A 27,883-nucleotide genomic window follows, 5' to 3' on the forward strand; every position below is an offset into this window, starting at 1 on the left:
TAGGCTGGATTGGATAAAGTACCGTTGGAGCACTTTTATTCCAAGAAGAAGCTGGAATTCGGAGTGACAGCTCCATTCTTATTTGCCATGTGAACTCTGGGTCAGCAAGTGGAAGAGCCAGACCTATCTGCCTGTTTCATCTATTAGATGGGAAGAGATGATAAACATAACATAAATTAGTAAGCAGATGTGATAAGTAACTGAAGAACAGTTGTTTTCTATCCTTAATAGATACGGCTAAACCAGCTGAAGGTTAACAACATAAATATTTTAATATCTAGGTATTTTTGATGTCCTATACTCTAGAAATATGTGCAAATTAAAGTGTGGTGGGGATGAAGTATTACTAATCTATTTCCTTGGATAAGGTTATATATCCCTCTCTCTACTCTACCCTCCTTAGCTACAAGTTCAGGAACAACACAATAAAGGACAAAAGACTCTCACATCCAATTTCAAATTGGTTTCTCATTTATTGCCATCATTCTAAATCAAAGCACTCTACCTGTTCCCAAAGGAAGTGACAGATAAAGCCCTTGAACTGGCAACTGGAAGAACTAGAAGTAGGCTTTTGCTCTTCGGTAGGCCCAGAAGATTATGACCACTGAGTTGGGCTGGTTTCAGGCCAATGTAGAAAGGAAGCAGCAGGCCTCACACTGGAGTCCTCCAGCACAGGGAGCTGGTCCGCTCTGGATGCTGCCCATAGGCGGTCTTTTTCAGATAAAATACATCAGTCCCCTGGATTTAGGTGCCCCAGAATGTTCTCAAAAACTGTTCTTATATCTTATTAAAGTAAAAATTACAGTGAAATACAGTAAACAGATGTTAAAGGTACAATCTAACATGTTTTAACATATACCTCATGTAACTAACATACCAATTAAGATATAGAATTTTTTAATAGCCTAGAAAGTTATTTCAGGGCCTCTTCCAAACAGTCCTTACTTCTTCCCACCCAAAGGGAATCACTACTATGATTTCTATTCATAGGGTCACTATTGTCCAATCTTGAAATTCATATAAATATGATCCATCTTTTTTATCTGGCTCAACATGTCTGAGATTCATCCATGTGGTTTGACATACCAATAGTTCATCCTTTTTTAATTGTCAAGTTATATTCCATTTTGAGGATATCCCTAATTTGTTTATCCATTTGATTTGCCTACTGATGGACATTTGGGTTGTTTCCAGCTTTGACTATTGTGAATAAAGAGGCTATGGATATTGGTATACAGATTTTTAAAATACCTGTGTTTCCATTTGTCTTAGATAAATATCTAGAAATGAAATGGCTGGTTCACAGGGTAAGTGTGTGGTTAACTTTTTAAGAAACAGCCAAGGAATTCTTTAAAATGGTTGTACCATTTTACATTCCTTCCAGCAATATATGCGTTGCATGTCCTCACCAACACTAAGCACTGGGGTTTTTTAAATTTTAGCAATCTTAGTGTGGGTAATTATATTGTGGTTTTAAAAAATACCTTTTTAAAATTTTTAACATACAGTAAAGCTGACTTCATTTTGGTGAACAAGTCTATGAATTTTAACGCATGTTTAGATTTGTTACAGCCACCACCACAATCGGGATAAAGAATAGTTACATCACTCCAAAAAAGGTCCCTCCTGCTGCCCTTTTGGTCACAGTCTACCCCCAACCTCCTGTCAACCACTAATCTATCATCTGTCCCTATAGTTTTGCCTTTTTCCAGAATGTCATATAAATAAGTAACCTTTTGAGACTAGCTTGTTCAATCAGCATGCCTTTGAGTCATCCATATTGGTGTACATTAACATCTTTGTTGTCAACTTTTGGCAATTATAAAGCTGTGACAGACATTTGCATACAATTTTTTTTCTTTATTTTTTGAGATGGAGTCTCACTCTGTCACCCAGGCTGGAGTGCAGTTGCGTGATCTCAGCTCACTGCAACCTCTGTTCTGCCTCCTGGATTCAGGTGATTCTCATGCCTCAGCCTCCCAAGCAGCTGGGACTACAGGTGTGCACCACTATGCCCTGCTAACTTTCTTGTATTTTCAGTAGAGACAGAGTTTCACCATGTTGGCCAGGCTGGTCTCAAACTCCTGACCTCAGGTGATCTACCCACCAAGGCCTCCCAAAATACTGGGATTACAGGCATGCGCCACCGTCCCCAGCCAGCATACAATTTTTTTATGTGAACACAAATTTTCATGTATCTAGGGTAAATTTCTAGGAGTGGGATTGCTGGGTCTTCTATGTGGTTATTCCAACTTTGTGAGAAACTGCCAAACTTTTCCAGAGGCCATGTCATTTTGCATTCCCACCAGCAATGTATGAGAGTGCAGTTGCTCTGTATATGCACCAGCACTTGGTATTATTTTTACCCATTCTAACAGCTACATAGTGGTTTCTTATCATGGCTGTAATTTGCATTTCCCTAATGGCTAATGATATTGAGCATCTTTCATGTACTTATATTTGCTATCTATAGGTGGTACCAAGTGAACTGCCTAAATCTTTCAAATCTCGTTTTCTAAACTGGGTTGTTGTCTTGCTATTGAGTTTTGATACTTATATATTCTGGATTCAAGTCATTTATTGGCTAGATGATGACTTGCAAATATTTTTTATATTTGCTGTTTTTTTTTCAATCTTTTAACTGTGTTTTTTTTTCCAGAGCAAATCTTTTTCATTTTGATTCAGTCTAGTTTACCAGTTTTTTTCTTTCATGGTTCATGCTTTTGGTATCACATCTAAGAACTCTTTTCCTAACCCAAGATCGCAAATGTTTTGTCTTCTTGTTTTATAGTTTTACATTTTACATTTAAAACTATGATCCCTTTTGAGTTAATTTTTCTATAAAGTATAAGGTATAAGTAGATTTTGGTGGGGGGAGAGTATGTGAATGTCCAATTGTTCCAATCCCATTTGTTGAAAAGATTATCCTTTTTGCATTCATTGTTTTTGGACATGTCAAGTATCAGTTTACCATATTTTTATGGGTGTATCTCTGGACTTGTTTCTGTTTCATAGGTTTGTGGCTAGCCTTTTGTCAATATAGCACTAATTACTGTAGCTTTATAGTCATTCTTAACATTAGATAATAGGAGTACTCCAAATTATTGTTCTTTCTCAAAATTGTTTTGGCCATTCTAGTTTGTGTTTCCATGTATAATTCAGAATCTGTGTGTGTGTGTGTGTGTGTGTGTGTGTGTGTGTGTGTATCTATATATCTATATATATAAAACAAATCCTGCTGGGATTTTGACTGGACTTTTAGAATCCATTTGTCAATGTCTACAGAAAAGCCTGCTGGAATTTTGCCGAATATACATGTTAATTTGGGGAGGACTAAGAATATTGTCTTTCAGATCATGAACAGCATTTGTCTGTTTGTTTAGGTTCTTTACTTTTTCTCAGTAACATTTTGTATTTTTCACGTACAACGTACACAATACAAAATGCAGTTTTCCTTCATATGCTTTGTTAAATTTATCCCTAAGTGTTCATGTTTTTGATGCTATTGCAAATGGCATTAATTTCATCTTCTGCTAAGTTTGTAGAAATTACTTTTTATATGTCACTTTTATATGTTAAGACCTTGCTACAATTATTCCAGTAAATTTTTTTTGGGGGGAGGCCATATAATCTTTAAAATTTTCTCTATACAATTTTGTCATCTGCAAATAATGGCAGTTTTCTCCTTCTCTCAATCTTTATGCTTTGTATGTCTTCCCTTCCTCATACTCAGTGGGACTTCCGGTAAAATATCAAACAGAAATCATGAGAATGACTATTGCTGCCTTGCTCCTGTCATAGGGAAAAAGTGTTGTCTTTCACCACTAACATTACTTTTGAGGAAGGCCTTCCTATTAATACTTTGCTGGGATTTTAAAAATAAAAAATGGTATTTTATCAAAATTTTTTTTCTGTTTCTACTGAGGTGATCATCTGATTTTTTTTATGTTAATATAGTGAATTATATCTATTGTCTTTGGAATATCCTTGAATTTCTGGTATAAATCCACTCAGTCATCATGTTTTATCCATTTTACACGTTAGATTCAATTTGCCAACTTCTGGGTCTATGTTCATGAGGGATATTGGCCTGTGGAGTTTTGTCTTCTTGGTAATACTGGCCTCATATAGAATAATTCGGGAAATCTTTCTTTCCTCTTTCTCTCTTTTCTGAAGAGTTTAGATAAGACTGGTATTACTTCCTCGTAATGGCCTTGGTAAGAGTTCTCTAGTGTAGCCATTAGGGCCTGGAGGTTTCTTTTTGGAAAGATTTACAATTTCTTTAATTGATGTAGGGCTATCATTTTTTTCTTGTGCCAATTTTGGTAATTTGATATTGGCATAAAATTGTTTATATTATTCCTGTTTGCCTTTTAAACGTATATAGATGTCATAATGCCCATTACACATCTTAATATGTGACTTTTCTTGATCAGTCTGTATAGAGATGTATCTATTAGATCTTTTTAAAGAACCAGCATTCATTCTGTTGTCTCTATCGTATGCTTCACTGATTTCTGTTCTTACCTACTTCTGTCTACTTATTTTGGGTTTAATTTGCTTTTCTTTTTTTAGCTTAAGGTGAAAGCTTATATCACTGATTTAAACTTTTCTTCTTTTCTATTATAAGCATTTAAGTATATAAATTTCCTTCTAAGCTCTAAAACTAATGCATTTCAAAATTTTGATGTTTTGGCTTTTGTTTAGTTGAAACTATATTTTAATTTCTCCTGTGATTTTCTTCTTTGTCCCATGGGTTATTTAGAAATATGTTTAGTTTCCAAATATATGAGGCTTTTCTAGATATTTTACTCTCTGGGGTGGTTAGAAATTGTACTGTGTAATGTTTTAAGCCTTTGAAATCTGCTGAGACTACCAATAGTCTATCTTGGTGAATGTTCCATATGCACTTGATAAGAATATGTAATAGTTGTTGGGTGTAGTGTTCTGTGAATATCAACTCAAGTTGGAGCATAATGTTGTTCAGAACACGTATTTTTTCTTTGACTATTCTAGTAATGTTTTAAGTCTCCAGCTATGCTTGTGGGTTTGTCAGTTTTAAGTTGTGTATCTTTTATAGATAGCATATAGTGGGTGTATTTTTTAAAAAAATAATAGACTGTTTTTCAGAGCAGTTTTAAGTTAACAGAAAAATGGAGCAGGAAGTAGTGTTCCCACGTATCCTGTGTATACACACACACACACACACACACACACACACACACACACACACGCAGCATCTCCCACTAGACACATCGCAATCACCTGAAATCCACGTTATTTTAGGGTTCATTCCTGGTGTTGTACAACCTATGGTTTTTGACAAATGTATGACAGAAATCCATTATTAGTATCATATAGAATAGTTTCATTGCCTTAAAAATTGTCTGTTCCACCTATTCATCTCAGCCTCTTCCATAACCCTTGGCAACCACTGGTCTTTTTACTGTCTCCAGAGTCTTGCCATTTCTAGAATGTCATATAGTTGTAATCATACAGCATGTACCCCTTTCAGATTGGCTTAACTTAGTAATAAGTATTTGAGGTTCCTCCTTTTCTTCCCATGGCTGGATTATTATTTTTTGAGGTGGGGTCTTGCTCAGTCACCCAGGCTGGAGTGCAGTGGTGCAATCAATCTTAACTTACCACAACCTTCAATTCCAACTCCTGGGCCCAAGTGACCTCGGCTTCCTGAGTAGTTAAAACTGTAGGTGTGCACCACCATGCCTGGCTAATTTTTTTCATATTTAATTTTTTTGTAGAGACGGGGTCTTGCTATGTTGCCTAGGCTGGTCTTGAACTCCTGGGCTCAAATGATACTCGCCTCAGCCTCCCAAAGTGCTGGGATTGTAGGCGTGACTATGCCCAGCCTAACTCATTTATTTTTAATGCTGAATATGTTCCATTGTTTAGATGTGCCACAGTTTACCCATTCACCAAGAAGGACATCTTGCTTGCTTCTAAGTTTTCAAAGTTATGAATAAAGCTGCTACAGACATCCATATGCAGATTTTTGCATGGATTTAAGCGTTCAACTTATTGGGTAAATACCAAGAAGCAGAACTGCTGGATCATACAGTAAGAATGTTTCACTTTCTAAGAAACTGCCAGACTGTCCTCCCAAGGTAACCGTACCATTTTGCATTCTCACCAACAGTGAATGAGAGTTCTGTTGCTTTTGCCATTATCTCACTGTTTAAATTTACAATTCCTGAATGACATGATGTTGAACACTTTTCCATACGTTTATGTGCCACCTATATGTAAGAAGACTTCCGTGAGGTGTCTGTCCAGATCTTTTGCCCATTTTTCAATTAGCTTGTTCATATTTGTATTGTTGACTTTTAAAAGTTCTTTGTATACTTTAGATAACAATCTTTTATCAAATATGCTTTTGCAATATTTTCTCCCAGTCTGTGGCTTGTCTTCTCATTTTCTTGACCATGTCTTAAACAGAGCAGTTTTTTAGTGAAGTCCAACTTATCAATTATTTCTTTAACACATCATGCCTTTGGCACTGAATCTAAAAGGTTGTCGCCAAACCCAAGGTTATCTGGATTGTCTCCTATGTTATCTTCTAGGAGTCCTATTTTATATTTAGGTCTATGATCCATTTCAAATTAATTTTGTGAAGGGTTTAAGAACTGTGTCCAGCTTTTTTTTTTTTTTTTTTTTTGGCATATGGATGATTTGTTTGTTCCAGCACTCGTTGAAAAGACTATGTATGTGTGGTTTGGATTTTTAAACTAGTCTGATCATCTCTGCCTTTCAATTGTTATTTTTAGTCCATTTTCTTTCAGGTAATTTTTCACATGGAAGGCTTTTTCATATGTTGGTTTTCTAATTGTCCCTCCCCAACCCCCAATGTTCTTCCTTTCCTGTCTTCTTCTGGGTTAAACGTATCTAATTCCTTTCCTCATAAGTCATACTTGCATTATCTCTTTAGTGGCTGCTCTATGTTTTAAATCTTTTCCCTCCATTTTTCAGATTGGACACATCTATAGATTTATGTTCAAGTTCACTAATCCTATCTTTTCCAACATTCAGTAGTCCACACAATGAATTTTTCATTTCACATCTTGTACATTTCAGTTACTGATTTTCCATTTTTATTTTACAATTTCCATTTCTCTGAGATTCTTTTTTTGTTCACTAGTTTTTCCTTTATTTTCTTGGGTATACTTAAATAGCTACTTTAAAGTTCTATTATTAATTTCTATTAAGAAATGCTGGGTCTTTTTTTTTTTTTTCCCTTGATTATGGGTCAGATTTTCCTGCCTCTTTGTATGGCTAGTAATTTTTTAATTGAATGGTAGGCATTGTGAATAATACCTTGTAAGGCATCTGGCTTATGTTATCTTCCTTTAAATGGTATTGTTTTATTTCTTGTTAAAGAGGATTATTTCTGTTTGAACTTAGTCAAATGTGGTCCATAGGCTGGCTATTTTTGTAAATGAAGCTTTATTGGATATAGCCATGCCCATTTGTTTAATATTAATATATTATCTGGCTTCTTTTGTGCTATAATAGCAGAGCTGAGTAGTTGTAACATAGACCCTATGTGTCTTAGTCCATTCAGGATGGTATAACAAAATACCAGAGACTAGTATGGAGTATTTAGAAGACTGGGTGTTTATCAATCAGTCACACAGATTTATTTCTCATGGTTCTGGAGGCTGGGAAGTCCAAGTTTAAGGCATGAGCATATATGGTGTCTTGTGAAGGCCTGCTTTGTGGTTTACAGCTTTTCACTGTGGCCTCACATGTCAGTAGGGGCAAGGGAACTCTCTGGGGTCTCTTTTATGAGAGCACTAAAACTCTAATATCATCACCCAAAGGCCCCACCTCCAAATACCATCACGTTGGGGATTAGGTTTCAATATATGAATTTGGAGAAGCCACAAACATCCTAGCTCACAAGCCTAAGTCATAGCCCTTTAAGAAAACACTTGCCAAACCTTGTTTAGGGTATACTACTGATTCCTAAGGTGTCGCATTTCTTGAGTAGTAACTAAATACGAAAGTGTTCAATGAGATTGCTCCACTCAGGCTGCAATTCCAAGGATTCTAAGTACTGTATAACTTCTGGTGTCACTGTTCAACTCTTAAGTCCTAGAGGAAGTAATCGTTTGCTAACACTTTGCAGATCCTTATCCTGGACATGCACATCCCAGTACCCTTGCCAAGTCTCATGCAGATTTCTGCCTCTCTTCCCAATCTTGAACTCTATCTTATAAATTCCAGCTGTTTTAGTAACCCTAACCTCTGTTGCATCAGAGTTGCCACTCTCTGACTCTCCTGGGGCTCAACTCCCACGGTAATGCTGGGAGATACCCCCAGGTAGAATCCCACAATGACCATCTGTGGGATTTAACATCTTGTGTTTTTCTTCTCTCAGGGATCACAATCCAGTGTTGCTTGTTGCTCTATGCCTGAAAATAATGGCAACATATATTTTGTCTGGTTTTAAAACTGGTTTTGGCAAATGCACAAATCTGGCACTACTTTGTTAGGGTAAGAAAAAGCTGCTTTTGCAAAACAAAAGGTCTTAAAAAACAGAATATTCTGATGGTTCCACTGATGGTTCCACTCACAGCCTTTTATTTATCTGACACTCATTGAGTTCTCCAAGTAATTTTTTTCAGGTTAACCATGTCCAATTCCCTTAACCATCCCTCACAGTAAAAACTAGACACTATGAAAAATCATAACATGCTGATGATTAACAACCAAGACAGTCCCCATCTTCAGTTCAGGCTAGTAAACAAGACAGACACCACACATAACTTGTTTCCCTTTTAAAATTAACATCTCTGAAGTATGCAGCGTGAAGCAGGGCATACAGAACTAAAGGTAATTAAAAGCAGAAGACTGCCTTTCCTTTCTTACCCTCATATCACTCTTATTAGGGGTAGGAACAGATGTAGTATTATGAGAAACTGGGTAGAATTTATAGAATAATATATGGTGGTAGACCTGGCAAACATCACCTCCTCTGGACATCCTTAATTACAAACTATTAAAAAATGAATTAGATGCACGCAAGCTTTTGCCTTAAGATCAGTGGTTTCAGGCCAGGCACAGTGGCTCACGCCAGTAATCCAAGCACTTTGGGAGGCTGAGGTGGGCAGATCACTTGACCCCGGGAGTTCAAGACCAGCCTGGGCAAAATGGCAAAACCCTGTCTCTACAAAAACTTAGGTAGGCATGGTGACTTGTGCCTGCAGGCCAGCTACTCAGTGGGCTGAGGTGGAAGGATCACTTGAACCCAGGAGGTCCAGGCTACAGTGAGCCGTGATTGCATCCTTTACTCCAGACTGAGTTAACAGAGTAAGACCCTGTCTCAAAAAAAAAAAAAAAAAAAAAAAAGGTGTTTTCAGAAACAGATTTTATGAATTTTTAGAGCTATGTTTTTAGTCCCAAAACTAAGATACAATCAGGGACCATTAATCTCATTCATAGAGATTACCTGTGCTTCTTACACTCAGTCCTCTTTAAAATGAAGCTGTCTTGTATTGTTTTAGTTATCCTTAAGTCCCTTAAGAGGAGTTCATTCTGTGATAACACACACTTGGGAGGCTTAGAAGGCACATCACAAGCATTGTCATCTATTTATTGACCAAACATCAAACAAGGGTAGGAATGAGACATTTAGGAGGAAAAACCTTTAACCTTAATCTGAGCTTCTGTACAATTTCACAGGGAACAGTCAATAGGTGGCTTTGCTATATGTAACCTATATTGTTTAGACGTGGCACTAGAGTAAAGCCAACATTGTTTACTACTCTTTGAGTTGTAAATATGTGACCAGGGGATAAAGCCAGACTCTAACAGTAGTCCAAGATCTGTAGGTTCATGAGGTTTGGGGAGGAACAAAATTTTGATGTGCTTGTTTTGCTTGACAGTATAGATCAGGACTCAGCAAACATTTTTTGTAAAGGGTCAGATAGTACATATTTTAAGCTTTGTGGGCCACATGGTCTGTCACAGTTATTCAGTTCTGCTGTTGTAGTATGAACGCAGCCATGGACACATGTAAACACGTGAGCATGGCTGTACAAAAATAGGTAGCTGGAATTTGGCCCAATGGTTTGCTAGCCCTTGGTATAGATAAATCTAAGCTAGCAAAAATTGAATTGTTTTGGTATAGATAAATCTAAGCTAGCAAAAATTGAATTGTTTTCAGTTTTATAAAATATGCAAGATCTTGAAAAAAAGTTTTCCTATTTTGCAAGTTGCCATTTTTATTGAGTGATTATCTTTTTCTTCTACTGATAAGATAAAGCTGTTTGTTTTTACCTCAGATTTCTTCCATGTGACCAAAGTGATGAAAGGATTTTTACATGCCACTCAATCATACACTATTTTGCATTCTGTAACTTCAAAATGAAACCTACCTTCTCTTGACAGGTAAACACTACACGTGAAGAGTGGTGAAAGGGAACATTGATTACTGAAGTGCCCTGGAGAGGGAAAGCACTGGTCAACATCACATGGACAAATTTCATTGTTTTCTAAAGATGGCCTGGAAGTAGTCTTTGCCACTGCTTCCTCCACAAACAGCTCTTCATAACATGGGCTGCATGAAATCAAAGCAAACTTTCCCATTTCCTACCATATATGAAGGTGAGAAGCAGCATGAGAGTGAAGAACCCTTTATGCCAGAAGAGAGATGTCTACCTAGGATGGCTTCTCCAGTTAATGTCAAAGAGGAAGTGAAGGAACCTCCAGGGACCAATACTGTGATCTTGGAATATGCACACCGCCTGTCTCAGGATATCTTGTGTGATGCCTTGCAGCAATGGGCATGCAATAACATCAAGTACCATGACATTCCATACATTGAGAGTGAGGGGCCTTGAGGCTGTAGGATGACAACACTTTGACTGTGGAGGTGCTAGTTTGAATAAATGTGACAAAAGCAAAAACTGGTGTGAAAAAGTACAAATAACTATCTGGATTTAAAAATGTGTCTACGATAATGTCACTATTATAAGAACAACTAGGATGAAATGCATTTTAAGTACTTCTATGTTAACAGCAATTTCTGTTTAGTCTTAGATTTTAGTCATCTGAAGGGCTGAACAGAGGTCCTGTGACACCCAATAATCAGCTGAATGTCACAGCACTTCTTCCTAAGTAATGGCATCACCAAAGAAAATGCTAAGGAATAAAAACTGCCCCAAATTCCAATGGTTGAAGTTTATCCTTTAAAATAACAATTTTTGTTTGTTTATACCCAAAAAAAGTCCAGATATGAAAAGGGCTTTTCTAAAATTTCTTGGCGAGGGAATGGCACTCAAATCATAGTGATTAACAGTAAGTCTTGTTTGTTTGTCAAGGATCTCTACTTCTTGACACAAATGAACCCTGTCTTTAATAAGATAAGATATTTATTTTTGTAGATGAGAAGTGTAACTACCACCTTGGACCTCAGGGCCCTAACTAATTACAGCTGTTACTGGACGACTCAGACTTTGTGCCTAAAGCCATCTTAGAGATAACAGTTTATAGAAGCCATGACATTAGTGTTTATTGCATTGAATTAAGCCCAGTGATATAACTATACAAGAAAACAAGTAGGGGTACCTTTTACAAAGAGCAATCCAATAAATCTTAAAAATAACAGAAACTTAGTCTGCAAGGTAGAAAGTTTCAGTTTTAATTCTGTATTAAGCTTTACTATCTCAGAGGTACAGAGGGCTGGAATATGGGCATTTATTTCCAGTTTTTTCTTGACTAGTAAGGCGGTCACCATTAAAATAGACCAGATAATGCATGAAGATTTACAGTTGTATTGCAAAACGGAAAAGATAAAACTGTCCTTTGAGGAGAGTACTCGTTTTCTGGGTTTTTGTTATTTTTTAGTGGTAACACAAGCCTATAGGGCATTTATAGCCACCTATTATACTGTTTCCATAAGCCTGGCTACCTTTTAGGGAAGCTATTTTTTCTCTTTCATTTTTACTGTCACAGCACATACACACACACCTTTTTGTTTTAAAGGATTAAGTACTGTTTGAAGATCAGTGGTAACAGAAAATTTGGGAGGGAGAAGAAGAAATTAAGACATGACTTGTTAGAAAATTAAGACTTCAGTTTCTAGAATTATCTTTTCATCAAGATTTGGTAGACATTGAGTTTAAATGGAAAGGAAATTATTTAAGCCTGTGTATGTTAGATCCACAATACACCATTGGTATTGAAATATAAAGGTTAAAAAAAAGGCTTATGACCTCTTTAATGAGATAAATATGTATTTGTCTTGTAAGCAGGCAGAAAATCTACCTCTAATTTTAACACTAATACTTTGAAACCCACAATCAAATAGAGTGAATTCTCCAAGTTACATAAGCAAGGAAAACATTATTTGAAATATGCCATGTTTTCGTTGCCTTTGGACACCTCATCATTCAACTCTAATTTTACCGAGTCCCGGGATTTGTACTGTCCCATTGTACTTGCAATCTACAATTTATATAATAGAAAAACAACCAAACCCATTCATACAAGGATCTGAAGTTATAAGGTTAAGGGCAGAAAGTTTCCCATAAGTATAAAACATTTCCAGGTCATGAAGAGTAGTTTAGGTTGAGTGACAAAAGCCTAGGTGTGGTTGTTTTTCATTCATTTTGCATCTCACACCAAGACATTTTTGCTGCAAGGTCATCTGCTGCTTAAAATGTACAATTAGGTATATAAAATAAGTACAATGGTGAAAACACAAAGCCAGGTAAAGCAGCATGCCCCACTAAACTTTTCAGTATACATAGGGACAGACAAGTGAGTTTTGGTTGTATCTAAATATTTTAATTTCAGGTTCCTTCTGTGCCCTGGGCCACTATTTCCCAGGGGTGTGACAGAGATGCCTGCCAGATCCATATCAACTAGAAGTCTGATTTCTGTTGCTGCCCTTCCTCAGCAACTATGGCAGTATACTTTTATCACCAAGCACCACTCCCTTGTCCCTGAATCACATTTTAATAGAGTACAATATCTTCTGTACAATATTTCTGAAACACTTATGTCTGAAATATATGCTGTATTGTATGTTAACCCATGACATATATGAACTACAAGGCTTGCATAATCAGTGAGCTAGTGGATAAATCAAGACAGGAGCAAATGGGAGAAAGATGAATAAACAAATGAAAAAAGATGAATAAATGAATAAGAGAGATGAATAAACAAATTTACATTACATGTGATAGTTATCATGGTATGGCCTTCATGACAAGATGGATGAGAATATCACTGATAGGATATTAGCCTTCTTTCATATCTTTATATTGAAATATGGGCTTTACTTCAATTTGAAGGTCTTTCATGAACAATAAAAGAGAGTAGAAGGACTGTCTGAGAAGGCAGGAGACATATAAAACAGATGACTGAAAGACTGACTAGCTCCTGGAAAGGGAAACATTTGGAACATCCAGAGTAAGGGCAAATGGGCTTCTACCAGCACAACAAAGAGCCTCCAGGTGGCAACATGGAAGCAGGTTATCAGAGAAAATAAATGTGCAAATTCCTTATTTACAATGACTCACTTAACCCCACAAACATGTTTCACTGCTGCCTTCCCCAGTTGTCGCTTATGTACTGTTGTTACCTTTCAGTTACATGCCTTTGATCCTAAAATTCTCTACTTTTGTTGCCTTATCAGTTCTTTGCAATCTGCCTGTGGTTATCAGCACTTAAAGCACAATTTTGAAGGGGAAAAAAATGATAATCACCTTAGTCCCAAAGAAATAATTTGTCAAACTGCCTTATTAGTATTAAAAACAGACACACTGAATGAAGTAGCATGATACGCATATATCCTACTCAGTATCATTGGCCTTTTATCAAATGGGGAAACTATACTTTTGTATTACATAGTTTTAGAAATCGAAAGTTAGAGACTCTTTATAAGTAATGTCAAGGAACAGTAATTTAAAAACAAAGTTCTAACAAATATATTGTTTGCTTAATCACAATGCCCTCAACTTGTATTTGAATAACTAAATAGGACATGTCTTCCTTGGAGCTGTGGGCATTAGTTCAGAAGCACTACCTGCATCTTAATTTTCAAAACTTAAGTTTTATTAGCAAATCCTCTTCTCTGTAAGACTTAGCTATGAAGTGGTATATTTTTTCCAAATATTTTTCTGAAAACATTTGTTGTTGTAACTGCACAATAAAAGTCCAGTTGCAATTAACTAGTGTGAGCTCTTATTTAACTGAAGCAAATGCTTTCTGACAGTGTGTACTTTGAATTTTTTAACAATATAAAAGACAACATTTTCTGCATTGTTAACAAATATAGAGAACAAAAATCCATTTATACAAATAATTTCTTGGATCATTCAGGTCCAATTTAGGACCTTTAAGAGTATAAATGTAAATGTATCCGATATCATGGCATCTTTATTCCAGATCTGTTACTGAATTATTTGAAAGAAAAATGCTTCACATAAAACAGATTAAGAACTGAGAAAACATAAAGCAATACCTTCTGGGCTGCCATTTCCTCATCTATGAGAAGGGTGCAGGACATGATCTTTAATGTCTTTTTCAGTTCCGTTGGCTTTTTATTCTTACAAACCTGAAGTTCACTTAGTTTCTAAAGAGTATGGGATGAAGGAGAAACTATAACAAGTTACAAAAAATTTATTTTGTTTATAAACAAAAATTACAAACAAAAAATTATAAATTTTGTTTGTTAATTTATAAACTTACCTTTAAAATTAAACAAAAATTACAAACAAAAAACAAAATCATAAATTTTGTTTACTTTGTTAATTTATAAACTTACCTTTAGTTTAAAAATTATTCTTGCCTAGAACTTTAAGGTTCTGAGTCTGGAATACCTTTTAGTTCTTTCATACCTTAAAAAGTACTTACTTCATTAACAATATCAATTATTGAATATATCTTTTGAACAAAAGTCTTCTTGCTTTCAATTAATTTTTTTCTCCTGACTTGAACCTTGTTTGTAAGGATAATTATCACACAAAAGTCTTACGTAAATTATAAAAAAACAGAGTGTCTCTATCTAAGAGATTGGAGTTTCCTAATTTCTCATTCTACCAGATTAACAAATATCACAAATAACAAGAAAATAATCCTTTCAGTTTCACCATGGGATGGTATTCTGATTATTTTAGGGAAGACCAAGTCTGAGTTAATACTGAAGAGGGACGTTAATAAAAATCTTTTCTCTCTGCCCAAGGTTTCTAATGTTTATAAAAGGAGCTCTTCTGCTACAGTAACTCAGTTACTTTAAAACACACTCATATATGGAGAAAATTCTATGAGGCATTAACACAGTATCCAAAACAAAAATTCTATGAGGCATTAACACAGTATCCAAAACAATTTTCAGGGTCTTTATTTTTTATATTGTATACCTAAGTTGATTTCATCAACATACAAGCCAAACGAAGATCCCATTTCAATTAGATATACCACTCAAGAGAATCTCCAAAGATCTTCACATTTTTCCATCTTCTAAAACAAGGATTGACAAACTTTTTTCTGACAAAAACCAGACAGTAAATAATTAGGCTTTGTAGGCTTTACCATCTCTATTGCAACTACTCATTTCAAAGCAGCCACAGATAATATATAAACAGATGAGTATAGCTAGTTCCAATAAAGCTTTATTTGTGAATTCTGATAATTTTCACGTCATGAATTATTAGTCTTTGATTTCTTTTCCCAACCATTTAAAAATGCGGAAACCATTCTTAGCTTACAGGGTATATAAAAACAGGCAGCAGGCTGGATTTGGCCCACATGCTGTAGATTGCCAACCCATGCTACAAAATATACCTTAAAAGCCTGTCACCTCAAAATTTCAAATCACTGCTTCCCAAAGACTTAAAGTGATTATTCAAATCTTCCTCAGTAACTTCTTTTAGATCAGCTGGTTTCCATTTTGGACTCTGGTCTTTATCAATTAAAACTGTCAAGAGAAGATACAAATGTTAATACCATTATTTTTGTCTAATATTGCTAGATTTTACTTACTGAATTGACAGAAATTCTTATACTAGGCACATTTTTCTATCATACTTTTTTCCTGCAAAATTTTTATATGTATTCTATTTTTCTTTTAAATTAAATCTCCAGGGATGGACAGCAATATACTTTTGATGACTGGGGTGGATATTTTCTAACTTCCTAAGCCTCATGTCTTAGCTTTAATAAAGCCTACTGAATTAATCCAGTGGTTTAAACATTAGAATTCTTTTTTTCTTCTTGAAATAAAATTGCCAGTGAAACCTCCACATTACAAAACAGGTAAAACCAGTGGTTTAAAGTAAAGGCAGGGGAGGGCAGAGGGACCAGATGTGCCTTCTAACCTCCTCCACATTGAATTTTGGGAGGAAATTAATTGCTTAAGGTAGAGAAAAGGGGACTTCATGCATAATTAAATGTGGATACTGTTGTTCTGCTGAATCCTCCAGTTCAGACAGCTCTGGATTTAAAAAAATCAGGTTATCATGAAACCGTCTAGTTCTCCTATTTCAGTGTAGTCATCACTCATCATAGCCACATAGTATCCCCACAGGATTATGAGGCAATCTGTAACTTCTCCGAAAAAAAAGGGGGAGGAATGTCCAGTATACTGTAGTTACACACACGTTATCATTTGGGAGACTGGGTGGAAGGTATGCAAGATCTCTATATTATTTCTTACAACCGCATGAATCTACAATGATCTCCAAATTTTAATGTTATGGTTGTGGCAGCAAATTTCAACCATGCTTAAAATGCACATAATTCTTGTGAAGAATGGAAATATTTAAATGTGCAAACTATAGTGAACTAGAAAAACCTAATTTAGCATTTAAAGGCTAAAATAGTTAAAGAAGCAGTATGGGAACCAAGGAAGAAGACTGCCTTGGTAGGTGGAGGGAAGCTTTTACATACAATTAAATGCAGATACGGGAGGTTTGTTTTTAAGATTTAACTGCCTACTATGAGATTCTGGTATCAGATCAGTGGCGATATTAAATACTGATGTTCTGATCCCTACTATTTGAAAGTTTTATATTCCGTGGACAGTGTAAACAAAGAACAACCCCGGCACATTTTTTCCACAAGAATCTCTCTCACTCTAAGTCTTCTGGTCAATACTACCTGTCTCCTTGAGATCCCACTGAAGGACAAGAGCAAAGAGACTATTAATCAAATTTGTTATTTTATTTCAAGCTAACAATTTTTTTACTAGAATACATACAAGTTCGTGCCATGTAGGCAGCTCAGGTTTTGCAAGTCTCCTGAGATAGCCACTACATGGAGTTTGAGTGGGTATCCAGCTCCACTAAGATGGTCTTTTTTTCTTCTTCTATAACCACAAAGTAGTAATTTGTTCTAGATGTTAACAGTAAGAATTTTTAACAACTGTTAAATTTGCTAACTTACTTTAACTTGCTAATATGTTTTTATTATTAGCAAACTGCAGCAAACATTTGACTATGTAAAGAACACAACAGTTTTCAATCTCAGAACAGACGCTGCTTTCTGAAAGAGGCGGCAATATACTTTCTCTTCATTAAAAAGTAGCATAGGCCAGGCGCGGTGGCTCAGGCCTATAATCCCAGCACTTTGGGAGGCTGAGGTAGGCGGATTACGAGGTCAGGAGATCGAGACCATCCTGGCTAACACTGTGAAACCCCGTCTCTACTAAAAATACAAAAAAATTAGGCGTGGTGGCAGGCGCTTTTAGTCCCAGCTACTCGGGAGGCTGAGGCAGGAGAATGGTGTGAACCCGGGAGGCGGAGTTTGCAGTGAGCCGAGATTTTGCCACTGCTCTCCAGCCTGGGTGACAGAGTGAGACTCCATCTCAAAAAACAAAACAAAACAAAAAAAAGTCGTATAATAAGCACTTCCTTTATGAATCAGAACTTTGATGCTGATTGGTTTCAACATTTTTTCCTCAAAATAACAGTATTTATCTAAAAACAGTATCTTTCTTTTTAAAGAAGGGCTATTATAACATATAATGAATACTTTAACAATATAACCCTGTATGCTTACAGGTCCTCTAAAATCAGAGTTCTAGGCTGTAATCCACATGCAGCAAGAATTTGCAGAGAATTTGTGAGGAAAATGCCTATGTTACTTAGTTTCTACAAGACACACTGCCATCTCCTCTGATCAGCTCCATGTGCTGAATACTAAAAAGATTTCAATCAAGTCCTTATTTCTGATATTGTATCATGTCAGAAATGAAGAGAACTCTATGAAGAGTGATTGTTTATCAAAGCTTAAGAGCTGAGAGAACATAACATAACCTTTTATTCAGATAAAAAAGTATATCCAGGCTGGGCACGGTGGCTCATGCCTGTAATCACAGCACTTTGGGAGTCCAAGGCAGCCAGATCACATAATATCAGGAGTTCAAGACCAGCCTGGCCAACATGGTGAAACCCCGTTTCTACTAAAAATACAAAAATCAGCTAGGCGTGGTGGCATGGGCTGGTAGTCCCAGCTACTCAGGAGGCTGAGGTAGGCAAATCACTTGAACCTGGGAGGTGGAGGTTGCAGTAAGCCGAAAGTGCACCACTGCACTCCAGCCTGGGTGACAGTGTGAGACCCTGTCTCCAAAAAAAATAAAATAAAATAAAAAAAACAAAGGATATCCAGAGTCTGCACTATAGTAAAATAATTAATAAAAACAGGAACATTAGATATGCAAAATACATGCAGAGGGAACAACTCATTTTATACAACATAAATAACAGCTTTTTATAAGGATAAGAATTATGCATAAAAAGGAATTGTTGCAAGTATGCTAGAAAAAACAGTCAAGCACGTCAAGCACTTCACTTGCTTTTTCTAAATATGCTGACATTGGAGATTATAAGCAAAATGGAAAGTATTAATAAGACAATCTGCAGATGTTACTAATGACATCATATGGTCTTTTTCCCCAGCAATGTTTAACTGCTGAGGTACAGGCAAGAAGGTGGAAAGTAGGGTTAGACCACTGGTCAATTTTGCCAGGCCAGCACGAAAGAGGGAGAAAGGGTAGGGGATTTGAGGGCTTTTTGTAAGGTAATAAATGCATGTTTCAAAGGCCACAGCAGCAGGATGGCAGCAGGATGAGTTTACAAGCTCAATGCTGCACTTATCAGATGCAGTCCATGATTGTAGGGGCAGGATTACCTTATATATAAATTAGGAAACAGTGGCCAAGTTATGTGAATTTTTAAAACAATTATCAGTTTCAAAGACTGATCTTCCTTTTCATATCCCAGATGGTAACATATTCTTTAAAAACATACACAACTTTGCAATCTTAATAAAAGTTTAATTTTCACTACTAAAACAACTATAGGTTGAGTATTCTTTATCTGGAATGCTTGGGATCAGAAGTGTTTCAGGTTTGATTTTTTTTTTTTTTTTCAGATTTTGGAATATTTGCATTATACTTATGGTCCAATGAACATTTGAGTGTCATGTTGGTGCTCAAATAGTTTCAGATTTTGGTACATTTTGGATTTTAGGATTTGGGATGCATAATCTGTATCTTCTTTAATTAACAGCATATGCTCACAAATCCCATTTCCCCAAAATGGTAAGTTCCCATTTGCCACTTACCAGCTCTAACGCCTTCATGAAAGTCATGACCTCTCTGAAAGAAAATTGAGATTAAATGGGGATAATTTCTGGGTGTCCTTATTCTGGGTTATTTTCTCTCTCCTCTATTCACTTCAGCCTTCCACTCCCATGGCCACAACCTGAACCATGACATTCAGAGACTGAACCACCTCTGATAGCCCACTCTCTGATCACCACCTCCTAAATCTTATTTGCTCAAGTATCTCCACTGCTACAAATCATTGATCTTACTGAGGTCCACAGATCCTATGACTTTCTCCCCATCTGTGCTGGCTTCACTTTGCTCTTCATCCAGCCCAATTTCACCAGTCCTTTAATATGGTCACTTTCCTGTCAAAATGTCATCATCTCCCTCAAACCTTTTTTCCTTTTTTACAATCCTAGCAAAATCCTGGCACCAACTAAACCCTATCACGTACCCCTGCCTGCACTTCAGCAGCTAAGTCTTGCTGCAGAAAATCATACAACTGTGACTGGTTTCATTTAAAATTCATGATCAAAAATCTCAAACAGGCACAGAAAACTGCCAAACAATCCAAGATCTCTTCCCAACTCCCCAAGATAATGATTTTAAGTGTTTTCTGCCTTCTCAACCTCTACCCGTAGAGCACACTCTTATTATAGTCTCAGCCAGTTACTTAACCTCTGACTTCTTTAAAAATACGAGAAGCTCTTAGATATGAAGTCTTGTCTTCTCACCACTAAAACACCTGCAGGCAACTGTGGCCATCTGCACCTGCCTTCTCTTTCAATGCCGTGGAGGAAAGGACCATCCCTTTTTCAAAGACCAGTCCTCCCTTGCATTCCAATTCACATCCCCTCTTGCCTTCTCAAGGATGGACTTTGCTTGATGTGGTCATTCACTTTTATTTTCCTAGAATCATCGATGTAGGCAATATAGCTGAGTTCAAATGTCTAGGTTCACATCCTGATAGCTACATATTAACTATGTGACCTCGGACTAGTAATTTCTCCAACCCTAGTTTCTTTACATGAAAAGGTAATTTATATATCCATCCTAGGATTATTTTAATCCACATCCAAGCACAGTGTCCGACACTAAGTGTTCAGTAAATATTAACTACCATTAGTATCATCAACATAATCTTGTTTCTCTATTGGATCATTCCCAATCATTTTTAAACATGTTCTAGTACCTTCCATCTTACAAAATAAAAAAGGAACTTCATTTGATTCCACAGTCCCAGCTTCTATCCTATTTCACTTTCAAGAGTATTCATCTACACATATTCTCTCCACTTCTTCACATCCCATTTTTCCTCTCCAACTTACTACACTCTAACTTCTGCCCCCACTCCTCTAAAATGGCTTGCCAAAACCACCCATGACATCGGCATCGCCAAGGTCAAATGACACTTCTAACCTCGTCTACACTTTGACAGCGTTCAACACTGTCCATTACACCCTCCTCCCCGAAACATTCCTCACTTTCTTTTGTGACACTACACTCTCCTGGTCCTCCTACCTCTCCATCCTTTTTTTCCTTCCTACTGCTCTTTCTCTACCACACCTCAAAATGTTAGAGTTCCTTAGGGCTCAGGTCTGGACTCTCATTTTCTTTATAATATGATCTTACCTATTCAGTGCTCAACATAGCAGCCTGAGTGATCAATTCTTTAAAGTATAAGATCATGGCATTCCTCTCCTCATAATCACCTAGTGGCTTCCCATTTTACTCAGCCAAAGTCCTTAGAGAGACCTTCAAGGCTCTGTATGCTCTGCACAGCCTTTCTCTACACTGTTTCCTCTGACCTCATCTCTCACTCACCACAACCTCTGCCCCCCATCCGCTTCCACACGGCCTCTTTGTGGTCCCTAGCACAGGCAGTCATGCTCCAGCCTCACAGCTTTGTTCTTGCAGTTCCCACTGCCTGGGATGCTCTTCCTCTAGATAATGGCATGGGCTCACTTCCTTACTTCTTTCAGGAATTCACTCAAAGAACATCTCAGTGAGGCCTTCTCTGGTCATCCCATCTACAATTCATCCCCCTGTTACTCTATATCACATATCCTGCTTCCTTTTTCTTGTTAATATTTATAATCATATAATATATATTTTATGTATTAATCTTGTTTACAGTCTATTTCCCCATTATAAAGTAAGTTCCATGAGGGCAGGTGTTATCCTACTCCCTACTCCCCAAGATAATGATTTAAACTGTTTTCTGCCTTTTCAACCTCAACCCCTGGAGCACACCTATGTACCTGGAACCTATGTACCTGGGTACCTCTAACAGTGTCTACGACATAGTAAGCACTCTTGTTTAGTAAATAACGAATCCCCAAGGTTTTCTTAATTGCTGTTGGTGTCTTTCAGATTTAAATCTCCAACTCATTCCTCTAATCTCTAACTCCTAAATGCATTCCTTCCCTCACATCCAGCAAGTCCTATCTATTCTATCTCCTACATGTGTCTCAAATCCATTTACTTCTCTCAATTGCCACCATGCTTGTCTCAAAACTACTATTTCACACCTGGATCACTGCAGGAAATCTATATCTGGTCTCTAAACCGTTCTTGAACCTCTCCAACCCTATCTCCACACAGCAGCAACAATTTCCTTCTTAAAGCAAATTGAACCGAATGAAATGAAAAATCAAATCACCTCCTGCTTAAGCCCAAGAGTCTTCTCAACATACTCCTTTCTCATCCTTTAGGTCACAAATGAAGTGACATCACAAAGATGTCTTCCCTGATCTACTTAAGGAGGTTTCCCATTGCCCCCCAACTCCCTCCTGTCCCTGCATAATCTCTTCTATCACCAACCCTGTATGTTTTCCTTTAGAGTACTTATCACAATTTATAATTATTTTACTTATTTTGTTTACTTGTTCTTTGTAGTCTCAGTAGACTAAACCCATGAAAATAAAGGACTGTGTCTTCTTATTCAACAATATAAGGCTAACACTGAGCACAGTGCCTGGGACATAGCTAACATATTTGCTGAGAGAATGAAGGCAAGAATCAATCAATCTAGGCAGTGCACTAAAAGTGTAATGAAAAACATGGAATGTGTGAGGTATACAGGAGAGTGGTCAAGAGTGCAGGCACTGGAGTAAGACTGCCTGGTTTCATATGCCATATCTCTGTCACTTAATAGCTGCACAACCTTAGGCAAGTTACACCACTATATAACAATTTCTTCATCTGTAAAATGGAGTCAATAACAGTACCTATCCTTCTAGAGATACCATAAGATTTAATGGAGCAAATGCATATAAAGTGCCTAGCGTAGTACCTGCACATAATAAACAATAGACGTCAGCTGCCATTTACATCCCTCAAGGAGTGACTTTAAGACATGGCTAACAGAGTTATTTCTAACTAGATGAACTACATTGAACATCTTAATAACTATTACATTAAAGTCATTAGGAATGTCTCCTTTCTGGCTATTAAGCCAAATAGTCCCTTTAGTCCATATATTAGTCTAAATAATAAGATGCTTCTTAAGGGTCCTCTGAACATAAAGGATGATTCTGACTTTAAAGAGTTTATCATCTGGAAGAATAAATAAATATAAATATGAGATGTTTCATGAAATCAATATTCTATGTGATTATTGTCCACTTTATGTTTACAATGGTACTTTAATAATGCTCATTATTTTAAACACGTAACAGACTAATAACTTCCATTTGTGCATTTACTTTATATATATATCTGCTTATAAATAATCCTCTTCATTTTACCAATGAGGGAATTCACATTTACAGAGTTTATATGCCTTGCCCAAGGTCACAGAGACCATCGCTGAAAGACATTAATTTCTATTTTGAATTCCTCTAAGATGAGGTTAGAGAGCTTCTTACACTGACATGCAAATGTAATTGCTATTTTATAAAGGCTTAATAACAATCTGGGTAGCAATACTTCCACACATCTAAAACTAACTGGCCTGTTGTGTTTTTGTAGAGTAAATTTACAGGTGGTTTTAATTTTCTTGTTTGCACTTAGTGTATTTTACAAGTTCTACAATAAACGTATGTTACTTTTAGAACTAAAAAATGACATTTTTTTTTTAAATTCTTACCATACAAGCTTGACTTAGCCGATACTCCATAGTTAGTACTTCTTGCAAGGTCTTTGAAGACCCCTCCATGAGTTGCCTTAGTGTGATCTTTAGAGATGTTGGAGACATTTTATTAATTACCTTTTGGAGGAAAAAATTTACTACTGTTAGTCCAATAGTTCCTTTATTGTCTATAATAAATGGGCAGAGTGTCTATGTAAATAATATTAAAATATGCCAAAATCTCATAAAAGATTATACCCTAGCTTAATCCTGCCAAAGCACCAAACAAAACTTTTCTAATCTGCTACAAAAACAAAACATCATTCCACAAGTGGAATAAATTCTGTAGCTGTGACTAATAAAATAAATCCATATTTGTAGTTTGCTTAGCATAAATTATGCCAATTGGCTAAGCAAACAGCAATTACACTTAAATAAAATCAATACACACCTTACAAACCAATCATATTCATGGAGTATAGAAAATAACGCATACAGTGGTCCATTTCCGGGACAAAGTGTCTTGAATCGGCATAGGTCAGCAAACTACAGAAGAAACAGGATACTAGGCCCCTGCTTCAATAGCCAATGCCTGCTTGTCAGCCTCCCGCTTCGTCCCCTTTTCCCCCACTTAGCTGCCCTCACCCGAACCAAAGAAGTTTAGCCTAGATACTAGTCTGCAAAATAGCTCACTTTGTCTGTTCTTATCATCCTGCCCAGCTACTTAGGTCATAAGTCAAATACTTCAAGAGCCCCTGAACTAACTAGGATTGCAATGCATTGTGGGCTGCAACAAAATGCAGCAAGACAACCCTAAAAAAAAACACCTAAAGCTGCTACCTAACACTCAACAGGTGACGTCCGGGATGACTGTGACCCTATAGGACTCAGCCTATAAGGAACCGGGGGAGGGACCTGTGCACTAGGAGGTTAAGTTGCTTGTTAAAACTGTGCCGGGTGTGCCTGCACACCAGACACCCAATCTTGCAAGACCGTCATTAAAAGTCTCGCTTTTGCTACTGTCCGGGTCTCTGAGTCCATTCTGTGGGTTTGGACGGGTGAATTGTTTCTCACAACCTGGTGGCCCATACGGCTATCTCTGTGCCTGTATGGAGTTAAGACTCCAGCCGAGAAGGGAGACGCACCCCACTTGATTTATGTGGCCTGCTCTGGACATCTTGGCTCCCCGCAGAAGCCACAGACAAACCCAAGTCTTGTTCAGGAGACAGCGGAGGTGACACAAGGAGAAAAGCAGGCACCATGGCAACCAGCCAACCTCCTGCATGATCCAAGGTAGGAAAGTTGGATTATCAGTACTGCCTTGGTATTGGGGCATTTTCAGAGAACCCGGAGTGTGCAAGAAACCTCCAGTAAGGGGGGCTGAGTACACAGCAAAAACCTGACACAGAGACTAAGTGAAAATGGGAAACAGGAATTCTAGGCCTACAGAACAAAGGAAAGAGCGAACTAAAAAGACCCCCTCTGACATTCTCCCAGATAGTCCCTTGGGGAGAATGTTGCAGGTTTGAATGGATAATCCCCAAACCAGGAACAAGGAAAAGCAAAAGATGATAGAGTATTGCTGTTTTATCTGGCCCAAAAAGCCCATTTGTCAGCCTTTGGTCTTTTGGCCTAAGTTTGGCTCAGATGAGGACTGGGTGTGCCAAGCTTTAATTCTCTACGTGAATGATAAAACCCATACTCACAGAGGATGTGGGTTATGTTCTTTGTTGGATTAGTGATTTAACCCCATGTTCCCCCTTAAAGAGGAAGAGCACAGTAAAGAGCCCTCACCCAGTGAAAAGCCCTGGGATCCCCAACACGCTTGCCCCTCCCCCAAACATCTCACAAGGTAGAGGACAGGGAGATCGGGGGCAAGAGGAAGGTCGAGGAAAGAGGAATCTGGGGATCATGAAGGAGCTAAACCCAGTGCTCCCTTAAATCCTTATCCAAACTTGAGGAAAGAATTAGAACAATGTAAGAAGGACATTGAGAATTTCCCTATTTCTTCTGAACAGTAGACGTCTAATAAGTACTCTCTTAGAGAAGTCCCTATGGGACAGGGAGGAGTTGGGTTTGTGAATGCACCTCTAACAAGTACTGAGGTTAGGAATTTTAAAAAGGAAATGAGGCCATTCTTGGAAGATCCCCTCGGTTTAGCAGAGCAAACCTCAGCTTAGCAGAGATCCCCTCGGTTTAGCAGCTAGATCAATTTTTAGGACCCAATTTTTATACTTAGGCTGAGATGATGTCAATCATGAATATTGTGTTTACTGGGGAAGAGAGGGGAATAATTATAAGGGCAGCCATAACCATTTGGGAAAGACAGCGTCCTCCCAGGCAAGAAGTCCTGCCAACTGAGCAGAAATTCCTAAATGCAGATCCTGGATGGGATAACAATAAAGAGATCGGGCCCAAATGCAGGACCTAAGGGAACTAATAATTAAAGGGATTAAAAAGTCCACTCCTAGGACATAAAATGTCTCAAAAGCATTTGAGATTCAACAACAAAAAAGGAGGAGACTCCCTCTGTGTTGCTGCAGAGGCTCAGTGATCAAATGCGAAAATATTCAGGATTAAATCCAGAGGACCCAGTAGGGCAAGGCCTTTAATTTTAAAGGTTAATTTTCTGACTAAAAGCTGGCCTGATATTACTAAGAAACTGCAAAAGGTTAATGGATGGAATGAAAAACCAATTAAGGAATTACTAAGGGAAGCTCAGAAGGTTTCTGTAAGAAGAAAGGGGGAAACATCGATGAAAAGAAAGGAAATCAGAAAGATAAAGGGGAGGAAACAGCAAACGTAGAGGGCCAGAGAAAGAGTTAAGCTGCTGACCCTGAAGGCAAGGGAAAGCCTGGTGCACAGCTGTGTGTGTGGGAGCCACTGGACTAAGCAGCCAAGACAGGGAAGGCAGTGTAAGACACTGTGCAGGTGTGCTGGTGCCCAGAGAAAAAGAGTCAGAACTGTCTGTCAGACACGGGGGAGCCAGGGCACAGTTAAGGCTCAGCTCATGCCCAGAGAGAGAAAGAGGAAGAAACTGAGTTTGAGGGAAAAAGGAAACAGGGGATGACAGAAAGAGAAATAAAAGAAGAAAATGAGCAAGAGAGAGACTGGAAAAGACAAAGATCAAAGAGACACAGAAGGTGAGACTGGGGAGAAAAATAATGTAAAAGGAAGAAAGAGTACAAGAGGAGGTGAGAGGATGTGGAGAGATTGGCAGGGCTGGGGGAAGGTTCTAGAGGCTCAAGCAACAAGGAGGTGCAAGCAAAGGGTGCAGTGTGGCCACTGAGGCGGGACAGAGCCTGGGAACCGGGCGATGCAAATGAGAAAGGGATGTGGAGGACAGTTTAGGATCAGGAGCAGTGGGTTGCCTATGGATGGCTGTCAGAAGGCGGCAGAAAGGATTCAGATTATGGAAGGGTAAATGGATGAAATGACCATTAAGGTTTTGTTGTTGTTTTACTGAGAGGCTGTAAGTCCACCACGGGCAGCTGTCAGTAAGGCTGCAGAAGGTCTGGGGGGCTATATAAGTTAGATCAGAGGGTTGTAAACTCAAATGACTACAGGGCCAGTAAATGATGAGAAGGAGGGCTGCAGGGCTGTGTGGGGACTGTGGCTAACTGAAGAGGGCACACCCTGTTAAAGGGGCCACAGCTGCTCAGCTGTGATGCCAAACTGTCTGCTTTGTCAGAGGCCAGAATTCTTTTTATCTAAAATGGGATTTTTAAATGCTGGTTATCAGTTCAAAAAACTTAAAAACCCAATAGAGGCAAAAGAGGATGCCAGTTTGCAATCCCTGAAGTAGAGAGAGCTCGTGCTGGGGAGAAGTCTGCCAAGACGCTTTGAGGTGGGATGTTTAAAAGTTCTGTTTCCCAGAGCTTGGCTGGGCTGGGGGAGGATCCCTGCAGCTGAGGAGGAGGAAAAGCCACTAAGTCCCCTCCCAGAGCGGGACAAACCAGAGACCCTTTGCAGTTGCTGGGTCACCAGCAGGGGTGGTGTGGAATACAAACAGTACAGCTCTCCGCCTGCCAGGGAGAGGAATGGTGTCTTCAAAGCAAACAATGAGGAAGTGAGGGTGGAGCCAGGGATGCTTTTGCTAATGAAAGTGCCCCTCAGGAAAGGTGCCACAGGCTGTTAGCTCTTCAAACCAGCAGCTCTTGGCCCAGTGCCAGACCCAGCAGGGCCCGACCAAAGGCACCCTGGGAAGCCAGCTGGTCAGTCCCTTGCCTCCC

General features: G+C 38.0%; 2 protein-coding genes across 13 annotated transcripts in view; one reads left to right on the forward strand and one right to left on the reverse strand.

The window, feature by feature from the left end:
* Window positions 1–14,198, forward strand: part of AKAP19 (A-kinase anchoring protein 19) — a 323,923-nt gene extending 309,725 nt beyond the window's left edge. For all 7 annotated transcript variants that reach the window (XM_047446008.1, XM_047446009.1, XM_011511983.2 and 4 more), the window contains one exon: window positions 10,411–14,198. In XM_047446008.1, the coding sequence (XP_047301964.1) occupies window positions 10,575–10,862 (288 nt within the window). In that variant the 5' untranslated portion in view covers window positions 10,411–10,574 and the 3' untranslated portion in view covers window positions 10,863–14,198. The remainder of the gene's footprint in view (window positions 1–10,410) is intronic.
* The window catches only part of HIBCH (3-hydroxyisobutyryl-CoA hydrolase), a 130,092-nt gene continuing 102,657 nt past the window's right edge, over window positions 449–27,883 (reverse strand). For 2 of the 6 annotated variants that reach the window (NM_014362.4, XM_011510954.2), the window contains 3 exons: window positions 23,670–23,789; window positions 19,594–19,627; window positions 14,634–15,946 (listed from right to left, as the gene is read on the reverse strand). In NM_014362.4, coding sequence (NP_055177.2) covers window positions 15,831–15,946; window positions 19,594–19,627; window positions 23,670–23,789 — 270 coding nt within the window. In that variant the 3' untranslated portion in view covers window positions 14,634–15,830. Of the gene's footprint in view, window positions 14,603–14,633; window positions 15,947–19,593; window positions 19,628–23,669; window positions 23,790–27,883 lie in introns of those variants that run through there. The other 4 variants (XM_047443905.1, XM_011510953.3, XR_922903.3 and 1 more) reach the window with 4 other exon arrangements.

The sequence above is a fragment of the Homo sapiens genome, chromosome 2 (assembly GCF_000001405.40).
Source record: "Homo sapiens chromosome 2, GRCh38.p14 Primary Assembly".
Lineage (NCBI taxonomy): Eukaryota > Metazoa > Chordata > Mammalia > Primates > Hominidae > Homo > Homo sapiens.